The sequence below is a fragment of the Homo sapiens genome, chromosome 1 (assembly GCF_000001405.40).
Source record: "Homo sapiens chromosome 1, GRCh38.p14 Primary Assembly".
Classification (NCBI taxonomy): Eukaryota; Metazoa; Chordata; class Mammalia; order Primates; family Hominidae; genus Homo; species Homo sapiens.
The window spans coordinates 205188128-205207171 of record NC_000001.11 but is presented as its reverse complement, the minus strand read 5'-3'; the positions used below and the strand labels follow the sequence as shown (position 1 = coordinate 205207171).

Genomic DNA, 19044 nt, shown 5'->3' with positions numbered 1-19044 from the left:
AGGAGGCGGAGGTTGCAGTGAGTCGAGATCGAGCCATTGCACTCCAGCCTGGGTGTCGCAGCAAGACTCTGTCTCAAAAAAAAAAAAAAAAGATACTGGAGTGACTTAAATATGTGTTGTTGGAGTTCTGTGGTCTGTGGTGCCTTCTTTGAATCCTGGTTTCACCTCTTACTAACCAAATGATCTTGGACAAATCACAACTGTGCTGTGCCTTTATTTCCTCATCTGGAAATAGGGATTATAACAGTACTGATCTCTAGAGTTCTTGGGAGTGAATCTATGTGCATGTTTAGAACAGGACCTGGGCCGGGAGCGGTGGCTCATGCCTGTAATCCCAGCACTTTGGGAGGCCAAGGAGGGCGGATCACTTGAGGTCAGGAGTTTGAGACCAGCCTGACCCTATCTCTACTAAAAATACAAAAATTAGCCGGGCAGGGTGGCAGGTGCCTGTATGCCAGCTACTCAGGAGGCTGAGGCAGGAGAATCGCTTGAATCTGGGAGGCGGAGGTTGCAGTGAGTCGAGATTGCCCCACTGTGCTCCAGCCTGGGCGACAAAGCAAGACTCTGTCTTTAAAAAAAAAAAAAAAAGAACAGGCCAGGTGCGGTGGCTCACGCCTGTAATCCCAACACTTTGGCAGGCTGAGGCGGGTGGATCACCTGAGGTCAAGAGGTTGAGACCAGCCTGACCAACATGGAGAAACCCCATGTCTACTAAAAATACAAAATTAGCCGGGCATGGTGGTGCATGCCTGTAATCCCAGCTACTCAGGAGGCTGAGGCAGGAGAATCGCTTGAACCCGGGAGGCGGAGGTTTTGGTGAGCCGAGATTGCACCATTGCACTCTAGCCTGGGCGACAGAGCGAGACTCTGTCTCAAAAACAAAAAACTAAAAAAAAAACCAAAAAAAACCAGTGCCTGCTAAGGTGCTATGTAAGTATTAGCTATTATTCAATAAATACCTGAGTGCCTGGTATGTACTGAGCAATGTGCTGCGTATGGGGGATAAAGAGTCAAATAAAGACATTGGCCTTGGCCTTAGGCCAGTGAAGATCAGTCTTTCCCTTCTATACTTTTAAGAAAGAAAAAATAATTATAATTATCATCAATAATCATTTATGTTTGATGATGGATTAAAAAGGTCTAAGAAGACCTGAACTTGGTCCTCTAGAAAGGTATAATCTAATCTAAACCATATACGTGTGCAACACATAAAACACGTACATAAAAAAGCAGAATGCTAAGGGAGGTTATAAGCATTTTATATGAGTTATAATTCTCAGGTTTTTTTTATAGCTCTTTGCCTTTGGTGAGCTTACAGCTATGTTTCTCCAACATTCTTCACCTTCTTTTTGTCACACCTTTTAAATGTGCCAGCATTTAAAAGAAGGGGAAAAGCACTAGTGTACTTATTTAAAATAGGCATTTTCGGCTGGGCGCGGTGGCTCACTCATGTAATTCCAGCACTTTGGGAGGCTGAGGCAGGTGGATCACCTGAGGTCAGGAGCTCGAGACTAGCCTGCCAGCATGGTGAAACATCGTCTCCACTAAAATACAAAAAATTAGCTGGGCATGGCGGTGCGGGCCTATAATCCCAGCTGCTCAGGAGGCTGAGGCAGGAGAATCGCTGGAACCCAGGAGGCAGAGATTGCAGTGAGCTGAGATCATGCCAGTGCACTCCAGCTTGGGTGATAGAGTGAGACTGTGTCTCAAAAAAAAATAATAATAATAAAATAAAATAAATAGGCATTTTCCTTGGTCATCTTAGAAATTTGTATGATAAGTAAGTTTAAGTGGCAGAGTGACATTTGGGGAAGGGATGAAAAGTTGGGAAAGAGGAGATTCTTTAGAGCTTCATTTTATAGAGCTGTCATCTTTATGGGGCTTAGGGGTGGGGAGAAGCTGGGATTGTGAGGTGGAGCACAGTGACAGCAGTGCTGAGACTGGGATGGGTGTACTCTGTGGTAGTTTGCTATCATCTGTTTAGAAGAGTTGCCAGTGCATTTCAACATAAGCTCAGTAAAGATAGTGCTGTAGTTTTGGTTATTACTTTTAATAAAAGATAATCTATTCTAAGGTAATACCTTAGATTAACAAAATCCCATTTTTCCAAGTATATCCAAAACTTGGTCTTTCTTTCTTAATTTTCTTCCCTCATGGAAGCAGCATTCAGTGGCCAAAAGCAAGCATAGCATTTGAATGAAACCTAGGTTCCTATTCTAGTGCATTCTCTTTTTAACTGTGTGACTTGGGGCAAGTTACTTAACCTATTTGAATCTTGGGTTCTTCATATATATAATGGGAGTAATACACAATGCCACATATTGTATGATTCCATTGATATGAAATATCCAAAATAGGCAAATTCATAGAGATAGAAAGTAGATTAGTGGTTGCTAGGAGATGTGGGGAGAAGAAAATGAGCAAATAAGGGGTGACTGCTAATGGGTATGGAATTTTTCTGGGAGGAGATGAGAGTGCTCTGGAATTAAATAGTGATGATACTTGTACAACTTTGTGAACATTCTAAAAGCCACTGAATTGTACACTTAAAAGGGGTGAATTATATCTCAATAAATAAATAAAATGGGAGTGATAATACCTGCCTTACAAAGTTGTGACATTTGGAGATAATATACCTTAAAGCACAGGCATATAATTAATGCTAAATATATATGGCTGTTTGAGTGGTTGTGTGTGTGTGTGTGTGTGTGTGTGTATGGTGAGCATTGATTTAGAAAGTTGGAACATGGGGTTCGCAGAAGAATGAGAGGAACAGAAAGATGGAATGTGGGACAGAACAGTTTTGAGCTAGAGGCAGATTTAGGCCCGAGTCTCTAGGCTCCCAGTCCAATTCTGCTTCTGCGGCTCTTCCTTTGTTCTTTTCTGACCTGACCATGGGAATACAAAATACACCCTGGCAGTAAAGAGACTCTGTTACAGATGAGTCGTCACCCAGGCTCCACAGCTTGTATGGAACTGTCATTTACTGAGTGGGAGACTATCTGATTGAATGAGTATAATGTGGCACTACCTACTCAGGCTCTTATTCTAGTTTCCACTCCCTGACATTTAGGGCATCAGGCCCCTTGTTGCTGATCTTGCTATCTCCTGCTCCCTGGGAGGAAATGGCCTCCCTAACCACAGTGGCTCTTTGCACCCTTTCCCTTTCTGGCCTTTCTCCTTCCGAATCTTCCTTTCTGGGGGTAATCTGTTTCCCATGGTACAGGTCTGCCTGCTGTTTTTGTTGTTGTTGTTTTGAGACAGAGTCTCGCTCTGTTGCCCAGGCTGGAGTGCAGTGGCATGATCTTAGCTCACTGCAACCTCTGCCTCCCGGTTCAAGCATTTCTCCTGTCTCAACCTCCCAAGTAGCTGGGGCTACAGGCACACACCACCATGCCCAGATAATTTTTGTATTTTTAGTAGAGTCAAGGTTTCACCATATTGGTCAGGCTGGTCTGGAACTCCTGACCTCAGGTGATCCACCTGCCTCGGCCTCCCAAAGCACTGGGATTACAGGCATGAGCCACCTTGCCCAGCTGGTCAGCTTGCTATTAAAAAACATTGGGAAATTCTGCCCCCTCCCTTCCCCTCCCCTCCCCTCCCCTCCCCTCCCCTCCCCTCCCCTTCCCTACCGTACCCCTCCCCTCCCCTCCCCTTCCCTACCCTACCCCTCCCCTCCCCTCTCCTTTTCTTATTTTATTTTTTGAGACAGTCTCACTCTTGTTGCCCAGGCTGGATCTTGGCTCACTGCAACCTCTGCCTCCTAGATAAAAATGATTCTCCTACCTCAGCCTCCCAAGTAGCTGGGACTGCAGGCACGCGCGAACCACACCTGGCTATTTTTTTTTTTTGGTAGAGACGGGGTTTCACCGTTTTGGCCAGGCTGATGTTGAACTCCTGGCCTCAAGTGATCTGGCCACCTTGGCCTCCCAAGGTGCTGGGATTACAGGCGTGAGCTCCCATGCCCATCCTGCCTGCTTTTAAAAGAGAAAATATTATTGCCTTTAAGCTTATTATAATTTGCAATATGTTTAGTCTTAAAAGTCATTACTGATTTCAGTATGGTTAGTTCTTCAGCCTTGCAAGTAGTTTTTACAGAAGGCATGGATTTAAATAAAAATCCAGTCTGGTTTTTATATTTTGTTTTGCTCTGTCTACTTTCTCCTTTTCTTTCTCCATGCTTCTGTTCTCTGTTTTACTAGGTTAAGAGAACAGGGAATCTTTCTCCAATAAATGCACTTCTCAAAAACAATCCTTTCAGAATAAAACCTAAAAAAAAGTTACAGAAATAAAGGGGAATATGAATTTTACCTTATACCTGTTACTCAGTTAATATAGGCTCTGCTCATACAGATTATGCCTTTATTTACTTTCTTTTCTTTCCTTTTTTTAAAAAAATATTTAATTGTATTTACTTTAAAGCTGAATTTACTCCTGTGTCATAAGTTTTTGTTTCTTCAGTTTCTTCTGGGATAACTTTTTCTTCTGGGCACCCTCCTCTTCTGGTTTAGGAACAATCTGTTCCTTTTCAGTAAGGATCATCTCAATGTGGCAGAGAGAGCTCACGTATGGGTTAATCCGACCATGAGCTCTGCAGGTCCAGCGGCGCATCTTAGGTGCTTTGTTCACTTTGATATGCCCAACGACCAGAGAATCTACATCTAAACCCTTAAGTTCAGCATTACTCTCTGCATTTTTAAGCATGTGTAGCAAAAATTCAGCAAGCTTTTTGGGCCACTGACCTTGTCCAGCCCCACTGCTTGGCCTGGGCACACCAACCAACGCAACCATTGTAATGTTGGAATGGTACATGCTGTTTCTGTAAAGTGGTAGCTTTCAGATACTTCGTGGCTTTTCGTATATGCATACCCTTGATGGCCTGAGAAGTGTCATGAGTATTCTTAAAGTGAACACGAAGATTTGAACCTCTTGATTTGCATGATTTTGTGGGGTTCTCTGGGTCAAGTGAATAGCGAACCATTTTCACGGATTACCTCAGGCCACGTAGGGGAAGAAGCCCCTTCCCCTTCCCCTTCCCCTTCCCTTCCCTTCCCCTTCTCCCTTCCCCCTCTCCCTTCCCCTTCTCCCTTTCCCCTCTCCCCTTCCCGAGTTTCCCACATTTCCTTTCCTGATGCCCAGGCTGGAGTGCAGTGGTGCAATCTTGGCTCACTGCAACCTCTGCCTCCCAAGTTCAAGCAATTCTCCTGCCTCAGCCTTCCTGAGTAGCTGGGATCACAGGCATGCACCACCACGACCGGCTAATTTTGTATTTTTAGTAGAGACAGGGTTTCACCATGTTGGTCAGGCTGGTCTCGAATTCCTGACCTCAGGTGATCCTCCCGTCTTGGCTTCCCAAAGTGCTGGCATTACCGGTGTGAACCACTGCGCCCAGCCTTTTCTTTTGTATGATAGCTGTGAGTATGTTTGTCTTAGCCTGCTGACAAGATTGTGTACCCCTAAGGGTAAAGAGTATGTTTTACTCATTTTGTACCCCCAGTAGTGCCTACCATAGTGCTTTGTACATAATGGGCAAATAAATATCTGTTAAATTATTTCCACAGCTGGTGGATATTGGAATGATGTTTTGAAATTAAATGCAATTTAATTCCTTCCTTGGAAGGGCGTTTTTTTTGGCCCCATAGAACATAAGGATTTTTGTAAATTCACACACATTTTACTCTCTGGGCCCCTAAAAAAGAACAATGATATGCATTTCATAGGTGACTAGTTAGGCTGCAGTTGCATTCTTTTTTTTTTTTTTTTTTTGCATTAAAAAAATTTTGTTTTTAATTTTGTGTGTACATAGTAGGTTTATATATTTATGGGATACCTGAGATGTTTTGATACAGGCATGCAATGTGAAATAAACACATCATGGAGAATGGGGTAGCCATCCCCTTAAACATTTATCCTTTAAGTTACAAACAATCTAATTACTTTCCTTAAGTTATTTAAAAATATACAACTGGGCCATCATGGTGGCTCATGCCTGTAATCCCAGCACTTTGGGAGGCCAAGGCGGGTGGATAACATGAGGTCAGGAGTTCGAGAGCAGCCTGACCAACATAGCGAAACCCCATCTCTACTGAAAATACAAAACTAGCCGGGTATGGTGGCACGTGCCTGTAATCCCAGCTACTCAGGAGGCTGAGGCAGGAGAACAGCTTGAACCTGGGAGGCGGAGGTTGCAGTGAGCCAAGATTGCACCATTGCACTCCAGCCTGGGCAACAAGAGTGAAACTCTGTCTCAAAAAAAAAAAAATTAAATTATTATTGACTATAGTCACCCTGTTGTGCTATCAAGTAGTAGGTGCAGTTGCATTCTGTGCCAGTATCCCAAAGAATTATTTTCATGTTCCAAAGAATGACTTGCATGCAATACCAGTAGACCTGAGCTTCACCATGATATGGGAAGTAAATTCTTAATATTCATTCACTCAGCAAACCTTTATTTAATGCCTGACTCTGTACTAGGCACAGGACACGCATTGGTGAACCACTCTGTCCAACTAACTGAGATTATTAATTCCAAATTGATGTTATGAAGGAAAAAAGGATTAGTGTTTCATCATGTCTCTCCCAGAGGATTTTCTACAAATTGGTTACCTACTTAATCATTAGTTGTCTTTGAGTGGGTAGGAGTGTAGGGCATATGGAAAATTGTAAGATTAAATGGCATTGATAAGGATAGGAGTTGAGGCCGGACGCAGTGGCTCACACCTGTAATCCCAGCACTTTGGGAGGCCGAAGTGGGCAGATCACCTGCGGTGAGGAGTTCAAGACCAACCTGGCCAACATGGCGAAACCCCATCTCGATTAAAAATACAAAAAATTGGCTGGGTGTGGTAGCTCATGCCTATAATCCCAGCACTTTGGGAGGCCAAGGTAGGTGGATCACCTGAGGTTAGTAGTTCAAGACTAGCCTGGCCAACATGGTGAAACCTTGTCCCTACTAAAAATACAAAAAATCATCTGGTCGCGGTGGTAGGCGCCTGTAATCCCAGCTACTTGGGAGGGTGAGGCAGGAGGATCTCTTGAACCCAGGAGGCGAAGTTTGCAACCAGCCGAGATTGCACCACTGCACTCCAGCCAAGGTGACAGAGCGAGACTCTGTCTCATTAAAAAAAAGAATAAGAGTTGAAATGTTCTGCCCACTTTCTGACAGTAGAGGAAAATCAGCCTATTTTCTCTTTGATGGAAAAATTATATCATCTCGTTTTTGTGGTTCAAATGCAGAATGCATTTATGAAGATTACTATTAGAGCTTCTTTCATTTCTGTCTTTCTTAGAAGTTACAGAGAAGCCGGTAGGAAAACTACGAGCTATGGGTGGATGTGGTTTTTTTGGTTATGGTTGTAAAACCTAAGGTTAATTTGCTCCTTCTTACAGGAAAATAGCCTCTAGGGATGACGGGGTTTGCTTCCTACATGGTGCAGGGAATCTGAGTAGTGTCATTCATAACAAGACTACAGAGGGCGAGTCCACGTGGGGGTGCAGTTTTTCTATTTTACCTCACAGAGCTCTGACTGGAGTGCCGTGGGAGGATGTCCAGTCTCAGTATAGGCCATTCCCAGGCTTGGAGGTTGATTCAGTTCTTTGTCACACAGGGAGTTTGGTGATCCTATGGAACCTGGAACTTGACACTTACATGACCAGAGGAGAACAGATGTAGAAATGCTTAAGATGTGTGTCTCCTTGCTTTGAGCTATAAATGAGACTCTCTGAGAAAGTTCCCTTATGCGTAATGTTCCTCCAAAGTCCAAACCAAAACTCTTGGAGGGAAAGTTGGTCAGAGCATGGAGACTCATCAGTATCCCCTGTGGGTTCTGGTTGAAGTGCCCATCACAGGCAGTGTGTTTTTCTATTTTCTTCTCTAGGCAGTGTGAGCAGTTTGGATATATTCCCCAGCTGTGTGCCACGTGGCTGTGGGAACCTTTTGACCACCGCTTTCTTTGGAGTTGGGCTTTATTATAACATGCTTCCATTCCCTGAGGTGGTGTGCTCTGGGCAGGATGATGGGAGTAGGACTTGAGGATTGTTTTGCTTTTCACTTGTCTAACTAATGATACATCAGAATTGTCCCAAATAATTATGTCTAGGTTATATATTTATAAAAGCCTTTGATTTTTTAAAAAAATTCCACTTATTTTAAAAAAGTACTTTCATCCTCAAAGTGTCTAACTTTAGTTTCATCAGATTAAGAGCTTTAGTGCCTGGGAGGCTGAGGCAGAAGAATCGCCTGAACCTGGGAGGCAGAGATTGAAGTGAGTCGAGATCGCGCCACCACACTCCAGCCTGGCGACAGAGCGAGGCTCCATCTCAAAAAAAAAAAAAAAAGCTTTAGTGCCTTATTTATGCCAGACAAATTTCAGTTTAGATCTTTTTTTTAATATTTTCTAGTCTATTTAATGGGGAGAGAATTTCCCAGGGTTTTTTTGTTTTTGTTTTTTTTAAATCAAGTCAAACTTGCCAGAGCAAAGACTAAGGCCCTATCACAAATGCAGCTAGGTTACAAGACTATTTTAAATAAAAGCTCTTTCTATTCAAATGAGAGGGACAGTGAGAATGAACCAGTATGGAGTTTACGTTTTAGGAATATTCCATATGATATACTCTAGCCTTAGCGTTTAATATTATGGCGATATCTAGGTGCAAGGAGGAATGTGGGGGAATATAGCTAGTAAAGAAAAGTCATTCTTATTTTTTAGTATATAAGAACCCCACTGAGGAAACCTCTTTCACTTTCTCCTGATTGAACAACTGACATGCTCTTCTGGTTCTGTCCCATGGAGAGAATTGGAAAAGTTTTGCTGCTTTAACTTGGAAAAGTGGTTTGTTGGTATAGGATAAAAGTAGTTAGTGTATAATGGCAATATAGTCTCTACCACTAATAAACATAAGGGGCCACTACAGGCAGTGCAAAATCAAAGTCAAGCTTCCTCTGTTGGTTTCTTTCTTTCTTTCTTTCTTTTTTTTTTGAGACGGAGTTTCACTCTTGTTGCCCAGGCTGGAGTACAATGGCGTGATCTTGGCTCACCGCAGCCTCCACCTCCCGGGTTCAAGCGATTCTTCTGCCTCAGCCTACCGAGTAGCTGGGATTACAGGCATGTGCCACCACGCCCAGCTAATTCTGTATTTTTAATAGAGACGGGGTTTCTCCATGATGGTCAGGCTGGTCTCAAACTCCCGACCTCAGGTGATCCGCCCGCCTCAGCCTCCCAAAGTGCTGGGATTACAGGCATGAGCCATCACGCCCGGCCTTCGTGGTTTCTTATTTAATGAACCTGATGGTTACAGGTAACTTTCATCAGACTGTTCTATACTGGAGCATCATGTTGGTCTATACTGCTTAGACTTGTGGATTTGGATTCTAAGTCTGATCCTAAACTACTTGCTTAGATCAGTGCCTTGAACTCCCCAGACTCTGAACAAGCAATAGTAAACATCACAGGAAGATTGATGGGATGGAAGGTAATGTGCAGGGCAAAAGTGGAGACAGTGAAGAAACTGTTGTTGTTCAAATCCTGTTATTGCTGTATTTGATGTATTTTTTTTTTTTCCGGCTGGTTTTTCTTGTCAAGTAAAATCCTATCTCTTGATCTCTTTCCTCTGAGATCAAGAGCTGGATACGCTTTGCTAGGTATATATTTGGATCCTAAAAAAATTATTTTGAAATAATTTCAAACATACGTAAGTGTTGCGAGAACAATAAAAGAGTTCCAATACCTGCTTCATGCAAATTTTCTAGTTGTTAACATTTTCATGGATTTGTTCCATCACCCAGTCTCTCTCCTTCCTGATCTATATTAGATGTAGCCTTTTTCTGAACCTTTTGAGAGCTGAGTGCAGTTAGGTTTTCTCATCTCCTCTAAACACTCCAGTATGCATTCCTCCCAAACAAGGATGTGCTTCTATGATCACCATACAGCTCGCCAAATCAAGAAATTAACATGGGTTCAGTACTACCATCCAGTCCACAGACCCTGTTCAGGTTTTGCCAACTGTCCCAACAATGTCTCCTTTTTTTTTTTTTCCTTTCATCACAGGGTATATGACGTTAACCCATCCCTGGAGATGTTTTCTCCACCTTAAATTCACCAGTTTTAGGGCCAGGCGCAGTGGCTCATGCCTGTAATCCCAGCACTTTGGGAGGCCATGGCGGGTGGATCACCTGAAATCAGGAGTTCAAGACCAGCCTGGCCACTATGGTGAAACCCCATCTCTACTAAAAATACAAAAAAAAAAATTAGCCAGGCATGGTGGTGCATGCTTGTAATCCCTGCTACTTGGGAGGCTGAGGCAGGAGAATTGCTCGAACCCGGAAGGCTGCAGTGAGCTGAGATCATGCCATTGTACTCCAGCTTGGGCAACAAGAACGAAACTCCATCTCAAAAAAAAAAAAAAAAAAAAAAATTCACCATTTTTTGCTTTGCAGTTGATTAGTTTGTGAATTCACCATTTTTTTCCTTTGCAATTGATTAGTTTGTGGAGAGGTGTTCTTGTATTTCACTGATACCCTGTTTCTCAAAAAACCTCCTTCCAGTAGACCTAGCATTCCCTGACAACTCCCACCTGTCTCAGTGATGGGGTTTTTTTGTTGTTGTTTTCTTTTTACAGGCAAGGTCTTGCTCTGTTACCCAGGCTGGATGGAGCGCAGTAGTGTGATCATAGCTCACTGCAGCCTTAATCTCCTGGGCTCAAGAAATCCTGCCTCAGCCTCCCTAGTATCTGGGACTACAGGCACATGCCACCGTGCCTAGCTAATTTTTAAATTTTTTGTAGAGATGGAGTCTCACTATGTTGCCCAGGTTGGTTTTGAACTTCTAGGCTCAAGCGATCCTCCTGCCTCAGCCTCCCAAAGTGCTAGGACTACAGGCATGAGTGACCGTGTGCAGCCCAATGGTGATTTTTATATCCATCATTCCTTCTATATGTATTAGTTGTAGTCTACTGTAAAGAAGAGCTTTCCTTTTCTCTTGTTTATTTAATCAGTGTAGACTTGTGAATTTTTTCAATGGATTGTAATATCTTCCTATCACTTTTTATGCATAAATTGTCCCCACTTTGGTGAGGTGAGTGAGTTTCCCTTCAAGCTGGTTCCTGTGTCCTTTTGACATATTCCCACCTTTGGATCATTGGTAATGCTTATAAACTGTTATACACTGCGTTCCAAATGCCAGAAACTAAGCCCTCTGTAAAGCATGGGGTTGGCTTCCTTCAAGGAACTACTTCCATCTCTGCGTCCCATACGTTAAAGCCTCAACTGCCAGCTGTGATTCTGTTCCCTCGGTAGTGTGACCAGTCTCAGGAGCAGTTTCACCCAGAAAGGAGCTTGTTCAGCATGCTGCTGAGTGCGTTCCCATTTCACGTGGCTCCCAGGGAGTATCAGCCCCTAGGGAGGCGGTCTCCTCTCCCCCGGTGCCAATACTATCTGCTTCTTAAAAGCTGTGAGAGATCTTAACGTGGTCCTGACATAGAATAACTTTAGAGAGACTTCTGCCAACTTGACTTTTCCGATTCCAGCGAGAGCTTTGCCTACTAGAGTGCATTTCAGTCTCTAATCTTCAATAACCATCCCCTTCCAAAGAAATAGCGTGTACTACTTGGTCCTGAAGATTCTGAAAGCCAGACTACCTAAGCATCTGTTTGTCTTAAATGAGGGTGCCTTCTGTGTCAGTCTTTAAAATTTAGCTGAAGGTCAGAGAGCTTGTTTAGGAAGGATAAATAAATATTTCTAGACTGAATTTTTTCTGTCTCAGTCCCTGGAATTTTTGTAGCTTAGTACTTTGAAGCTTGTGGTAGAATTGACTGTAGTAGAAAGACTATATAAGATTACTTTCTCAATTTAGGATTTGTTCTTTTCTCTACTTTTGGTATAGATAGTAAGAAATAAAACATCACTACCTATTTGTGGAAATGCATCTTTGTGTCACTGGTTGCCTCAGTTAACTATAAAAATCCTTTGTTTTTCATTCACTTTCAGAGGGGACTTAAGTTGACTTCCCATAAAAGCATGGAAAATTCAATGTTAGAAGTGATATTTTTGGCCAGGCATGGTGGCTCACACCTGTAATCTCAGCACTTTGGGAGGCTGAGGCAGGCGGATCACCTGAGGTCAGGAGTTTGAGATCAGCCTGGCCAACATGGTGAAATCCTGTCTATACAAAAAAAAAAAAAAAAAATTAGTGGCACTTGCCTGTAGTCCCTGCTACTCGGGAGGCTGAGGCACGAGAATCACTTGAACCTGGGAGGTAGAGGTTGCCCTGACCCAAGATCATGCCACTACACTCCAGCCTGGGCGACAGAGCTGGAGTTTTGGCACACGCCTGTAGTCCCAGCTACTTGGTACTTGGGAGGCTGAGGCACAGGAATTGCTTGAACCAGGGAGGTGGAGGTTGCTATGACCCAAGATCATGCTACTGCACTCCAGCCTGGGCGACAGAGCTGGAGTTTTCTTTTTTTGAGCTCTGTCTCTGTCTTTTTTTTTTAGGCCAGGCACGGCGGCTCATGCCTATAATCCTAGCACTTTGGGAGGCTGAGGTGGGAGGGTCGCTTGAACCCAGGAGTTTGAGACCAGCCTGGGCAACATAGTGAGACCCCATCTCTATTTTAAAAAAAAAAAAAAAAGTGAGATTTTTAAAACTACTGAAGGAGGGAAATCCTTGGGTACCAGGAACAAGTATTGCAGTAATAACTCTGTTGAGACCTGAATTAACTTTGAAGTCCATGTTAACTTTATGAGCTGCAGGAGTATAATAAAGCAAAAGCATTTTCTATTTCACCAACTTTTGTAGTGCCTTCCCTACCTTGGACATAGACTGTACCTTAAGAGCCTTCAGTTACCTTTCACGAGTATGTATTATTGATTGGTAGTGGCTGAAAGGTGTGATAGATTTCCTCACTCATCTTGAGGGTCATGGCCAACACTTCTCTAACAAAAGACAGTTTAACAAGAGAAAAGCATAACAAATTTATGTGACACGGGAGCCTTTAGAAATGAAGTCACAAAGACCCAGGGAAAACTGTTTTTATGCTTAGGTTTGATGAAGAATTGACTGCTTTGTAGAAAGTGATTGGACAGTAGGACATGATCTAATGGTAATAGACTGAGAAACCCAGCAAGGCTGGTCTGCTCAGGTTATTCTTGGGCTCTTTATGTGCATTCCTTCCCCCAGGGTGTGGGATGTGGCAGGTCCTCTCTGGAATGAGGGTCTTCAGAGGAAAAGAGAGCAACCTTTCTAGTTTTATGGCTTGCTTCAGAGAAGAGGATTGCTAGTTAGTTCCTTTTTTTTTTTTTTTTTGAGACGGAGTCTCACTCTGTTGCCCAGGCTGGAGTGCAGTGGCACTATCTCGGCTCACTGCAGCCCCTACCTCCCAGGTTCAAGCGATTCTCCTGCCTTAGCCTCCTAACTAGTTGGGACTATAGGCACATGCTACCACGCCTGGCTAATTTTTGTATTTTTAGTAGAGGTGGGGTTTTACCATGTTGGCCAGGCTGGTCTCGAACTCCTGACCTCAAGTGATCCACCCACCTGGGCCTCCCAAAGTGTTGGGATTACAGGCATGAGCCACTGTGCCCGGCCAGGGTTTCTAGTTTCTATGGTCTTGAGGAAGAGGAATTCTGGTTTCTGTGAGTAGCTTAAGGGGAGAAAAAGGGGAGGCAGACAGGAGGCTAGGAGAAGGTCAGAGAGCAACCTTGCTTCTGAAGCCTTCCAATCTCCTTTAGTTCAAAGTGCTCAGCATGCCAAAGCACCATACTTTGGGCTATTGTTTTCTGAGCCTGATGGGATGGAAAATAGGCAAGAAGGAGAATGTGTTGCTACAAATCGATTGACATTACCCCAAAAACAATTTAAATAAAGTATGTATCTTAAAGAGTCACTAGCAACAGAAACAGGTCACGAGTATTTCCTCCCTCCCATCTTCTCTTTTCAGAGTAGTCACCCAAACAGTAATACACACTGACTGTTGAGCAGAGCACTAAGAATTTCTCTGAAAAGAGCCTACTGTTTCTTTTAGCAAAGAGACTTTAGAGATCTCAGGTAGAATAACATTTTTTGAAAGTGTGTACCAGCCAGTGGTAATGCTGCGGTTTTCTCCATATGCTTTATTCCTCATGGTTTGGGGCAACTTTCATAGGGATTGTATCAGTCTGCTTTACATTGAGGTCCTACAGTTACTAAATTGCATTTGACCCCAGACTGGAAAACAATGTGGCGTAGGGGTCATTGTCTACTGGCCCCCAGAGCTCTGCAGTTCACTGCTGAGAGAAATGGAGAAACCTGAGCTGTTTCTTGTTTTTTCTTTTTGAAATGGAGTTTCGCTCTTGTCACTCAGACTGGAGTGCAATGGCGTTATCTCGGCTCACTACAACCTCTGCCTCCCGGGTTCAAGCAATTCTCCTGCCTCAGCCTCCCGAATAGCTGGGATTACAGGCGTCGGCCACCATGCTTGGCTAGTTTTTATATTTCTAGTAGAGATGGGGTTTCACCATATTGGCTAGGCTGGTCTCGAACTCCTGACCTCAGGTGATCCACCTGCCTTGGCCTCCCAAAGTGCTGAGATTACAGGCATGAACCACTACGCCCAGCCTGGTTTGGTTTTTTGAGCATCCATTTCCTCATCTTTATTATTATTATTTTGTGAGGCAGGTGACTCACCCAGGAGAGTCTCACAGTAGCGTGATCACAGATCACTGCAGCCTCGACCTCCCCAGGGTCAAGGAGTCTTCACACCTCAGCCTCCTGAGTAGTACATCACCATGCCTAGCTGATTTTTTAAAATTTTTAGTAGAAACAAAGGCACGGCGGGGGTTGCTCCCTTTGTTGCCCAGGCTGGTCTCGCACTTCTGAGCTCCATCCATCCATCCATGTCGGCCTCCCAAAGTCCTGGGATTATAGGCGTGAGCCACCATGCCTGGTCCATTTCTTCATTTTTAAATGGAGTTAATAATAGTCCTTGTCTTGTAGAATTGTGAGCATTAAATGAAATGAAGCAAATAAAGTGATCAATACATAGAAAGGGCTCAATAAATGTTATGTAAAACAAAAACCAAAATAGGTTGCTGCTTTAGTTGTTCTTCTCTTCCATCTAGCTTGAAACTTTTGTTTAGAAGTAAACAAAAATCAAAATCTGTATTTAAGAACAACCACCAAGAACAACAACAACAACAGAAGCCTTGGTTTGCACTTAAGACAATTTGATATGATTTTTCCTCCAGCCAGAGTTGGCAGGGTTAATGTGAGCCAGCTGAGAAGCCATGCTGTTACCTTCTGGCAGCCCATATGCAGATGCTGTTGTATTAATTACAAAAGAAAACTCGATTAACTTGAAGTCCTTTAACTGTCAGTGAGGCAGCTGCTCCAGCTCTGAAACAGGTTTTCTTCCTCCCTCCTACTGTCAGTCTACAGCTTTTAATCTCTTCTTTAGAGAACTGCTAAGACTGCACTGTAGGTCCTCAGAGCCCCTGGCTAGTTCAGTCTACTTTTTGTTCTGCAGTTATAGTGGTCCAAGGGGCACTTGCGTAATTAAATTCACATATAATTTAAAATAAAATAAAAACCACCACACCAACCACCCATCCCCCTCACATCATTGGTCTTTCAGCAGTTAAAACCTGGCATTTTAGAACTGGAAAGCATGTTAAAGATTATCTAATCCAACTCCACCCCCCTCCATTTACCGACGAGCATTTCAAGGCTCAGAAAGATCGAGTGGATTGCCAAGGTCACAGAGCTAGTCAGAGTGGCAAAGCCTGCCTTCATTCTCGTGCTGTTCCCACTTCCATATTGCATTCCACCACATCACTGAGCAGTGTGCAAGAATCCAGGAGTAAAACCATCTGCTTTCAACTTCATTTCTCTCCATGCCCTTGTTCAAATCTGGTAGAGATGTCAAATGGATGAAAAAGCTAAAGATTTAGTGGGAGAAGCAAAGAGCTTGGATAGTGACATGTTGGAAAACAAAGACGGTGATGTTTGCCATGGACTTCTAACAGTGTACTGGGATCAACTTCAGCACCCTTTCCTACTGCGCTGGTCTTTGGTCGTTTTGACAGTAGCAAGTTTATTTGTGGTGACTTTTTGTAGGAAAGATGGAGGGGGGAAGTGTTCATTTGGGTCAGATGAATAATGGGGTGTGTCTGCTCTGGTTTTGGCTGATGCAGCCTGTTTCATTGGCTGTCCTGTAGTTGACACTTTGTTTCAGAGGTGCAGAGGCTCTCTCCCTCTCGTCCTGAAAAGTGATTTAGTCGGTTTTCTTCTCTATTATCCACTCTCCTGGTAGTAGCAGTAACAAAGGTTATTTAGTTTTGTTGGTCTTTTTGTGATGAAACCATTTTTATTATAGGAATTTAAAGGTTGTCAGTATGCATTCATGCGTAGACACTTATGTGAAAATCTGGGGAGGACAGGGAATAGAAGAAAGCTAGGAAGTGTAGGTGAGGTGAAGACAGTCTAGCTGGACTTCTCACTGCTCGAGCTGAGACTATGGTAGTTAAATTCCACAAGATGAATGGAAGGGTCCTACTCTTGGGTTTTTTTTTTTTTTTTTTTTTTGAGATGGAGTCTCGCTCTGTTGCCCAGGCTGGAGTGCAATGGCGTGATCTTGGCTCACTGCAACCTCCGCTTCCCGGGTTAAAGCGATTCTCCTGCCTCAGTCTCCCGAGTAGCTGGGATTACCACCACGCCCAGCTGATTTTTTGTATTTTTAATAGAATCAGGGTTTCGCCATGTTGGCCAGGCTGGTTTCGGACTCCTGACCTCAGGTGATCTGCCCACCTCCACCTCTCAGACTGCTGGGATTACAGGTGTGAGCCACTGCACCTGGCTGAAGGGTCCTATTCTTTTATCCACATGAAGGAGGTTTTTAGGAGTGATGGTTGCTCTTAAACTATTCATCATGATACTGGACTTTTCAAAGTACTCAGTGGGTTTGCTTACAGCTTTCTATAGGTAGCTGTCCCCACTAAATGGATTCTCAGACAAAACAAACAAATCTATGACATTAAGCCCTTGGTAAGTGTCAGGCATTGTGTTGGGTGTTGAGGATGAAATAGGATGGTTCTTCCTGCTTTAGATGATTATAAACAGGTAATTAGAATAAAGCATGGTAGGTGTTCTGCAGTTGAGAATAAGGTATGAAGGAACTCAGGACTGGCCTGTTGCTACTTGTTAAGTGGCCACACAAGCAATTTGCTGTGTCCTCTTGCTTTTAGGTTGTAGATCAAAAGAGTAGACTAGTGGTCTGGTGTTATACTCTTGTATTTAGTAAATACCCTTGCACAGAATTATATACTTAGTTAACTCTGTTGGTTTTTGAAAGGCACTCATCTCTTTCCAAGGAGAGTAGATTTGCTTGTTTCAGTGTCTGGTGTTGCTGATGTATATGTGCGGGCCAGGCTGATATCCTTATAGACAGACATGAAAAGAAGGGCCCTAATGAAATGCATAGAGGGATCTGCGTGAACACAGACCTCTTTAACCCTTTTGGTGTTACTGTTTGTGGAAGAGAAGGATGCTTGGGGATTTGAAATCGTAGCTAGGTAGGTTCACTCTGAAGTAGAACCACCTCTTAATTGATTCAGGCCTCTTATGCTTCCAATTCTGGAAACAAACAAAATAAATGGCCTACAAATAATTTAATGCAGCTTATGGTTAAGTGACTAAAGCAAATACTGTTTCAGTTAGTGCCACCCAAAATTTCAGTTATGATGGATGTGTTTGGCTCAAGGATTGGCCCTTTTGCAGCCTAAGAACTGTGTCTGTGCTTTTCTGAACAAATGCAGGAATTGCCTGAATCTTAGAGATAGGCAGACACTGATACTGAAGGAATAAGGAAGTGATATAGTTCAGGCTGAGAGTTTCAGTGAACTAATTTCGGATTATTTTTCTCAAACACAGATTCTCATTCTTTAGGAAGCTTGTTCTGTCTTGAACATTATTTGAACGTGTTTGGGGAAGTTATCCATTTAGATTAGTAGTAGTTGCCTTGAAAGGAGAAGTTTTTTTTGTTTTTTTTTGTTTTAGATTTTTATTTTTTATTTTTTTTGTACAAAACGTAAGGGTGGTGAAAAACAGATTTTTTAAATTGACACATAGTAATTGTACATATTTATAGGATACATGTGGTATTTCGATATGTGGGTAACAATGTGGTAATGGTCAAATCAGGGTAATTGGGATGTCCATCAAGGAGAATGTTTTTGAAATAAATCACATCTCTTTCTAGATTTGCCTGGATTTTATCCTAATAGGCAGTTCTTTCCCTTTGTCCTATTTAGGGTCTTGTCTCCCATAAACAGAAGGAATGTGATTTGATTAGGAGGTATTGATGTTAATTGAGCACCCAGTGTTTTAAGGAAACAGATGACTTGGCAGCTGGGACGTTGTCACCAGCCATCAGAGAGATGAACTGGAAAAGATTCTAGAGCTTATGCAAACTTGAATAACATTTCATTTTATACATTTATACATTTTATACATTTATAGCTCATACATTTAGTAGTAAAATATGTCACAATGAAGAACATAAGCTAAAACCGCATATGGTAGATAATTTAAAAGGGCTCCATAGTGCTATATTATGTGCTGCATGATGGCATCTTGGTCAACAAAGGTACAGTATTTTTAGCATACGTTTTCTATGTTTAGATATGTTTAGATACACAAATACTTACCACTGTGTTACAGCTGTCTATAGTATTCAGTACAGTAACATGCTGTACAAGTTTGTAGCCTAGGAACAATAGGCTACACCCTATAGCCTAGGTGTGTAGTAGGCTATACCCATACCACCTAAGTTTGTGTAAGTACACTCTGATGTTTACACAATGACAAAATTGCCTGATGATGCATTTCTCAGAATGTATGCCTGTTGTTAAGCAACACACGACTGTAATCTGAGTTCAAGTATTAGGTCTTCTGTCAGAAGAAAGGGTTTAATTTTGACACATTCAGTTACGTTTCTCCTTGGGCTCACATCCCAACTAGTGTAGTTTTTTTCTGGCTTTGTTATTTTAATAATCTTGGTGTTTGTGATGGAGTC

At 42.8% G+C, this 19044-nt stretch overlaps 1 protein-coding gene and 1 pseudogene across 6 annotated transcripts in view, besides 3 other annotated features; one reads left to right on the top strand and one right to left on the bottom strand.

The window, feature by feature from the left end:
- Positions 1–19044, top strand: part of DSTYK (dual serine/threonine and tyrosine protein kinase) — a 69198-nt gene that overhangs the window by 4531 nt on the left and 45623 nt on the right. The window lies entirely within an intron of this gene.
- On the bottom strand, positions 4401–5001 carry RPL17P8 (ribosomal protein L17 pseudogene 8; annotated as a pseudogene).
- Positions 12430–12574: an enhancer, noted in NCBI's record as "145 bp 1:205163798 sequence used in MPRA reporter constructs". NCBI's record gives its function as "activates a minimal TATA-containing promoter with rs12078075 allelic activity by MPRAs in C283T melanocytes {active_cell/tissue: C283T}" and the evidence as "EXISTENCE:reporter gene assay evidence [ECO:0000049][PMID:36423637]".
- Position 12502: a transcriptional cis regulatory region, noted in NCBI's record as "rs12078075 or 1:205163798 MPRA-significant variant associated with a GWAS melanoma risk locus at 1q32.1". NCBI's record gives its function as "allelic transcriptional activity by MPRAs in C283T melanocytes {active_cell/tissue: C283T}" and the evidence as "EXISTENCE:reporter gene assay evidence [ECO:0000049][PMID:36423637]".
- Positions 15069–15613: an enhancer, noted in NCBI's record as "OCT4-NANOG-H3K4me1 hESC enhancer chr1:205160687-205161231 (GRCh37/hg19 assembly coordinates)". NCBI's record gives its function as "activates a minimal SCP1, AML or CMV promoter by ChIP-STARR-seq in primed H9 embryonic stem cells {active_cell/tissue: H9 hESC(primed)}" and the evidence as "EXISTENCE:reporter gene assay evidence [ECO:0000049][PMID:30033119]".